We start from the raw sequence: 7,524 nt of genomic DNA, 5'->3' as shown, positions 1-7,524 counted from the left end.
TCTTCCCAGCCAGAGCTTTAGGCCTATGTGATATTTTGACTAGAACTCTCCACTACCGAATAATCTGGGGAAATTAAGTAGATTTACAGCAGATGTAAATATGTGGAAACAAGGAGAACTCCATATTCTAAATGTTTACATGTTTCCCAAACCTCAAAGTTAGAAATGACCTTAGTCTATTCATTTAAACTAAAGTCTCAGTCAATTGAAATGGCAAATTTAGCCAAGACAGACAGACAGGAGAGAGAGAAACAGAAAGAGAGAGAGAGAGAGAAAGAAAGGAAGAAGAGGGAGAAAGAAAAAAAAAAAAGAGAAAGAAGCAAAGCAAAGTGAAATGGGCCCAAAAGCTGCCCTGGACTGATCATTTCTAGATAAACAAATTACCCTTAAAATAGAGCTGCCATGAGTCAATTAAATAGGCATTTGCTTCCATACCATTAAATGTGTTAACAACTTTATCTATAAGACTATTTTTCCTTAATTTTTACTCTCATAGAATTTTGTATAAATTTGCATAGACTTATAAGAAATCACTTCATACATAATAATTATGTCCTGATTATATAATTACATTCCATAAAGAAGACATTTCTAGACCTAAGGACCTCTATCACCTGAAATAAAATACTTCTACTACCAAAAATTCCTGCAAAACAAAAGGGAGGTGATTATTTTTATTTCCTAAGGGGAGAAATCATAGGGCAATAAAATTATTCCATTCATCCTATTAGTGGTTAGTTAACCAGATATGGGAAAGGAGGTGAGTTCTTAGGGGAGAAAAATCACTGTTCACAACATTTTGAGTGATGGTTCTTTCAACAATCACAATTCTCTTTCTCCATGTTAAAAAAGGAGCGGAGCCGAGAGGGACTGCATTATGCTTTCTAGACTTGCAAAGGATGCCATCCAGACAATGTGGAGAAGGTGGGGGGAAGAAGAGCCCAGATCTCTCCTAAGGCTTCAGCTTAAAGCTTCCATGGGGATTGGAGTAGAGATTCACTACACATCTGCATTCCAGCAACCCACTCCCACGTTTAAGCTGCTATTCCCAAGTGCCTGTTACTAAATATAGCTCCTGCCTTTCAGACTGACAGGAGAGCTCCCGCTGTGTACACCCAGAGCTAAATCTTCACACACTCCTAATATGGTTAGCCCAGCAGCCTATCAGCCCTTGAACGCAGAAGGGAAGCAGTGCTGCCTTTACAGGCTTCCTAAGGTTAACCCTTTCATGGAAGACAGGATGGAAGACAGATTGACCACTGGGAGCTGAAGATTCTCTGGTTACAAATAATAATGCATAAAATCGACATGACCTGGAAACCAGGATCCAGTCTGCTTTCCAAATACAAATACTTATGGATGGTAAGCATTAGATGGAGGAAGCAGGGCAAAAGGAACTGCCTAAACCCCATGGGTCATTGACATGAAACAGGTAAAGAAAAATAAAGGCGGGAAAGAAAACATTCTCAGGAGGGTGGTAAAGGCAGTAGAAACAAAGGGACTGACCAGTGTGTGCCACCCCTTCCCCAGAGACTGTTCTGTGGGAGCAGCTGCTGCCCAGGACAAAGAGGAAAACAGGTGTCCCTGCCTACTTTACAGCAGACCCCAACAGAGAGCACAGAATGGGTTCCATGGGCCGCTCAATATGCTTCCCAGTATTTATGAGACCCCTGTCAGGCCTCTGAGCCCAAGCCAAGCCATCGCATCCCCTGTGACTTGCACGTATACGCCCAGATGGCCTGAAGTAACTGAAGAATCACAAAAGAAGTGAATATGCCCTGCCCCACCTTAACTGATGACATTCCACCACAAAAGACGTGTAAATGGCCGGTCCTTGCCTTAACTGATGACATTACCTTGTGAAAGTCCTTTTCCTGGCTCATCCTGGCTCAAAAAGCACCCCCACTGAGCACCTTGCGACCCCTACTCCTGCCCGCCAGAAAACAAACCCCCTTTGACTGTAATTTTCCTTTACCTACCCAAATCCTATAAAACAGCCCCACCCTTATCTCCCTTCGCTGACTCTTTTTTCAGACTCAGCCCGCCTGCACCCAGGTGAAATAAACAGCCATGTTGCTCACACAAAGCCTGTTTGGTGGTCTCTTCACACCGACGCGCATGAAATTTGGTGCCGTGACTCGGATCGGGGACCTCCCTTGGGAGATCAATCCCCTGTACTCCTGTGTTCTTTGCTCCGTGAGAAAGATCCACCTACGACCTCAGGTCCTCAGACCGACCAGCCCAAGGAACATCTCACCAATTTTAAATCAGGTAAGCGGCCTCTTCTTACTCTCTTCTCCAACCTCTCTCACTGTCCCTCAACCACTTTCTCCTTTCCACTCTTCAATCTCTCCCTTCTCTTAATTTCAATTCCTTTCATTTTCTGGGAGAGACAAAGGAGACACGTTTTATCCATGGACCCAAAACTCCGGCGCCGGTCACGGACTGGGAAGGCAGCCTTCCCTTGGTGTTTAATCATTGCAGGGACGCCTCTCTGATTATACACCCACGTTTCAAGGGTGTCAGACCATGCAGGGACGCCTGCCTTGGTCCTTCACCTTTAGCGGCAAGTCCTGCTTTTCTGGGGAAGGGGCAAGTACCTCAACCCCTTCTCTCCTTGTCTCTACCCCTTCTCTGCTTTTCTGGGAGAGGGGCAAGTACCCCTCAACCCCTTCTCCTTCACCCTTAGCGGCAAGTTCCGCTTTTCTATGGGGCAAGAACCCTCAATCTCTTATTTCCACTCCCCAACCTCTTATCTCTGTGCCCCAATCCCTTATTTCCATGCCCCGACCTCTTATCTCTGCACCCCAACCCCTTTTCCCACTTTTCTGGAAGGTAAGAACCCCCGAACTCCTTCCCTCCATTTCTCTACTCTCTCTTTTCTCTAGGCTTGTTTCCTTCACTATGGGCAACCTTCCACCCTCCATTCCTCCTTCTACTCCCTTGGCCTGTGTTCTCAAAAACTTAAAACCTCTTCAACTCACACCTGACCTAAAACCTAAATGCCTTATTTTCTTCGGCAATGCCACTTGACCCCAATACAAACTCGACAGTAGTTCCAAATAGCCAGAAAATGGCACTTTGAATTTTTCCATCCTGCAAAATCTAAATAATTATTGTCGTAAAATAGGCAAATGGTCTGAGGTGCCTGACGTCCAGGCATTATTTTACACATCAGTCCCTTCCTAGTCTCTGTGCCCAGTGCAACTCGTCTCAAATCTTCTTTCTTTCCCTCCCGCCTGTCCCCTCAGTACCAACCCCAAGCGTCGCTGAGTCTTTCTAATCTTCCTTTTCTACAGACCCATCTGACCTCTCCCCTCCTCGCCAGCCCAAGCTAGGTCCCAATTCTTCCTCAGCCTCCGCTCCTGCACCCTGTAATCTTTTTATCGCCTCCCCTCCTCACACCTGGTCCGGCTTACAGTTTCGTTCCGTGACTAGCCCTCCTCCACCTGCCCAGCAATTTACTCTTAAAAAGGTGGCTGGAGCCAAAGGCATAGTCAAGGTTAATGCTCCTTTTTCTTTATCCCAAATCAGAAGCGTTTAGGCTCTTTTTCATCAAATATAAAAACCCGGCCCAGTTCATGGCTCGTTTGGCAGCAACCCTGAGACGCTTTACAGCCCTAGACCCTAAAAGGTCAAAACGCCATCTTATTCTCAATATACATTTTATTACCCAATCTGCTCCCGACATTAAATAAAACTCCAAAAATTGGAATCTGGCCCTCAAACCCCACAACAGGACTTAATTAACCTCGCCTTCAAGGTGTACAATAACAGAAAAAAGTTGCAATTCCTTGCCTCCACTGTGAGACAAACCCCAGCCACATCTCCAGCACACAAGAACTTCCAAATGCCCGAACCGCAGCGGCCAGGCGTTCCTCCAGAACCTCCTCCCACAGGAGCTTGCTACACGTGCCAGAAATCTGGCCACTGGGCCAAGGAATGCCCGCAGCCTGGCATTCCTCCTAAGCCGTGTCCCATCTGTGTAGGACCCCATGAAAATCAGACTGTTCAACTCACCTGGCAGCCACTCCCAGAGCCCCTGGAACTCTGGCCCAAGGCTCTCTGACTGACTCCTTCCCAGATCTTCTCGGCTTAGCGGCTGAAGACTGACACTGCCCGATCGCCTCGGAAGCCCCCTGGACCATCACGGACGCCGAGCTTCGGGTAACTCTCACAGTGGAAGGTAAGCCCGTCCCCTTCTTAATCAATACGGAGGCTACCCACTCCACATTACCTTCTTTTCAAGGGCCTGTTTCCCTTGCCTCCATAACTGTTGTGGGTATTGACGGCCAGGCTTCTAAACCTCTTAAAGCTCCCCAACTCTGGTGCCAACTTAGACAATACTCTTTTAAGCACTCCTTTTTAGTTATCCCCACCTGCCCAGTTCCCTTATTAGGCTGAGACACTTTAACTAAATTATCTGCTTTCCTGACTATTCCTGGACCACAGCTATATCTCATTGCCGCCCTTCTTCCCAATCCAAAGCCTCCTTTGTGTCCTCCTCTTGTATCCCCCGACCTTAACCCACAAGTATAAGATACCTCTACTCCCTCCTTGGTGACCGATCATGCACCCCTTACCATCTCATTAAAACCTAATCACCCTTACCCCACTCAACGCCAATATCCCATCCCGCAGCACGCTTTAAAAAGATTAAAGTCTGTTATCACTCGCCTGCTACAGCATGGCCTTTTAAAGCCTATAAACTCTCCTTACAATTCCCCCATTTTACCTGTCCTAAAACCAGACAAGCCTTACAAGTTAGTTCAGGATCTCTGCCTTATCAACCAAATTGTTTTGCCTATCCACCCCGTGGTGCCAAACCCATATACTCTCCTATCCTCAATACCTGCCTCTACAACCCATTATTCTGTTCTAGATCTGAAACATGCTTTCTTTACTATTCCTTTGCACCCTTAATCCCAGCCTCTCTTCGCTTTCACTTGGACTGACCCTGACACCCATCAAGCTCAGCAAATTACCTAGGCTGTACTGCCACAAAGCTTCACAGGCAGCCCCCATTACTTCAATCAAGCCCAAATTTCTTCCTCATCTGTTACCTATCTCGGCATAATTCTCATAAAAACACACGTGCTCTCCCTGCCAATCGTGTCCGACTGATCTCTCAAACCCCAGCACCTTCTACAAAACAACAACTCCTTTCCTTCCTAGGCATGGTTAGCGCGGTCAGAATTCTTACACAAGAGCCAGGACCACACCCTGTAGCCTTTCTGTCCAAACAACTTGACCTTACTGTTTTAGCCTAGCTCTCATGTTTGCGTGCAGTGGCTGCTGCTGCTTTAATACTTTTAGAGGCCCTCAAAATCACAAACTATGCTCAACTCACTCTTTACAGTTCTCATAACTTCCAAAATCTGTTTTCTTCCTCACACCTGACGCATATACTTTCTGCTTCCTGGCTCCTTCAGCTATACTCACTCTTTGTTGAGTCTCCCACAATTACCATTGTTCCTGGCCCGGACTTCAATCAATCCAGCCTCCCATATTATTCCTGATACCACACCTGACCCCCATGACTGTATGTCTCTGATCCACCTGACATTCACCCCATTTCCCCAAATTTCCTTCTTTCCTGTTCCTCACCCAGATCACACTTGATTTATTGATGGCGGTTCCACCAGGCCTAATCGCCACACACCAGCAAAGGCAGGTTATGCTATAGTACAAGCCACTAGCCCACCTCTTAGAACCTCTCAACAACATGCCCGAGTCAGGAAACTAAAATACCTCTTAATCTAAATAGACACTTTCACTGAATAAGTAAAGGCCTTTCCTACAGGGTCTGAGAAGGCCACCGCAGTCATTTCTTCCCTTCTGTCAGACATAATTCCTCAATTTAGCCTTCCCACCTCAATATAGTCTGATAACAGACGAGCCTTTATTAGTCAAATCAGCCAAGCAGTTTTTCAGGCTCTTAGTATTCAGTGAAACCTTTATATCCCTTATGGTCCTCCGTCTTCAAGAAAAGTAGAATGGACTAAAGGTCTTTTAAAAACACACCTCACCAAGCTCAGCCACCAATTTAAAAAGGACTGGACAATAGTTTTACCAGTTTCCCTTCTCAGAATACAGCCCATTTAAGCTCCTGTATAGACGCTCCTTTTTATTAGGCCCCAGTCTCATTCCAGACACCAGACGACCAACTTAGACTGTGCCCCCCACCAAAAAAAACTTGTCATCCCTACTATTTTCTGTCTAGTCATACTCCTATTCACCGTTCTCAACTACTCATACATGCCCTGCTCTTGTTTACACTGCCGGTTTACACTGTTTTTCCAAGCCATCACAGCTGATATCTCCTGGTGCTATCCCCAAACTGCCACTCTTAACTCTTGAAGTAAATAAATAATCTTTGCTGGCAGGACTATGCCGAATCTCCTTAAGCACTCTCTAATCAGACATCCTGAGTCGTCCCAATTCTTAGACCTTTTATACCTGTTTTTCTCCTTCTGTTATTCCATTTAGTTTTTACAATTCATACAAAACCGTATCCAGGCCATCACCAATCATTCTATACGACAAATGTTTCTTCTAACATCCCCACAATATCACCCCTTACCACAAGACCTGCCTCCAGCTTAATCTCTCCCACTCTAGGTTCCCACACCGCCCCTAATCCCGCTTGAAGCAGCCCTGAGAAACATCGCCCATTCTCTCTCCATACCATCCCCCAAAATTTTCCCAACACTTTACCATTATTTTGTTTTATTTTTCTTATTAATATAAGAAGGCAGGAATGTCAGGCCTCTGAGCCCAAGCCAAGCCATCGCATCCCCTGTGACTTGCACATATATGCCCAGATGGCCTGAAGTAACTGAAGAATCACAAAAGAAGTGAATATGCCCTGCCCCGCCTTAACTGATGACATTCCACCAAAAAAGAAGTGTAAATGGCCGGTCCTTGCCTTAACTGATGACATTACCTTGTGAAAGTCCTTTTCCTGGCTCATCCTGGCTCAAAAAGCACCCCCACTGGGCACCTTGCGACCCCCACTCCTGCCCGCCAGAGAACAAACCCCCTTTGACTGTAATTTTCCTTTACCTACCCAAATCCTATAAAACAGCCCCACCCTTATCTCCCTTCTCTGACTCTTTTTTCAGACTCAGCCCGCCTGCACCCAGGTGAAATAAACAGCCATGTTGCTCACACAAAGCCTGTTTGGTGGTCTCTTCACACGGACGCGCATGACAACCCCACCACCCCAAGGACAGGGACTGTAAACTCCCAACGGGGTAACCTTGCCTGCTGCCTAGATGGAGCTGATTTATCAAGATAGGGGAATTGCAACAGAGAAAGACTTTAATTCATGCAGAGCCAGCTGTATGGGAGACAGGAGTTTTATCATTCCTCAAATCAGGATAATTTAGTAGGTAGGGGGTCAGAAAGTGGGGATTGCTGATTCATCAGGTCAGAGATGAAATCATAGGAAGTCGAAGCTGTCCTCTTGCTCTGAGTCAGTTCCTGGTTGGAGTCCACAAGACCAGATGAGCTAGTTTATAG

General features: G+C 46.1%; 2 annotated features.

The window, feature by feature from the left end:
- Positions 965–1,487: an enhancer, noted in NCBI's record as "OCT4-NANOG-H3K27ac hESC enhancer chr12:68166311-68166833 (GRCh37/hg19 assembly coordinates)". NCBI's record gives its function as "activates a minimal SCP1, AML or CMV promoter by ChIP-STARR-seq in primed H9 embryonic stem cells {active_cell/tissue: H9 hESC(primed)}" and the evidence as "EXISTENCE:reporter gene assay evidence [ECO:0000049][PMID:30033119]".
- Positions 6,262–6,985: an enhancer, noted in NCBI's record as "OCT4-NANOG-H3K27ac hESC enhancer chr12:68160813-68161536 (GRCh37/hg19 assembly coordinates)". NCBI's record gives its function as "activates a minimal SCP1, AML or CMV promoter by ChIP-STARR-seq in naive H9 embryonic stem cells {active_cell/tissue: H9 hESC(naive)}" and the evidence as "EXISTENCE:reporter gene assay evidence [ECO:0000049][PMID:30033119]".

The sequence above is a fragment of the Homo sapiens genome, chromosome 12 (assembly GCF_000001405.40).
Source record: "Homo sapiens chromosome 12, GRCh38.p14 Primary Assembly".
Lineage (NCBI taxonomy): Eukaryota > Metazoa > Chordata > Mammalia > Primates > Hominidae > Homo > Homo sapiens.
The sequence above is the reverse complement of the archived record's forward strand: the minus strand, read 5'-3'. Positions and strand labels throughout refer to the sequence as shown.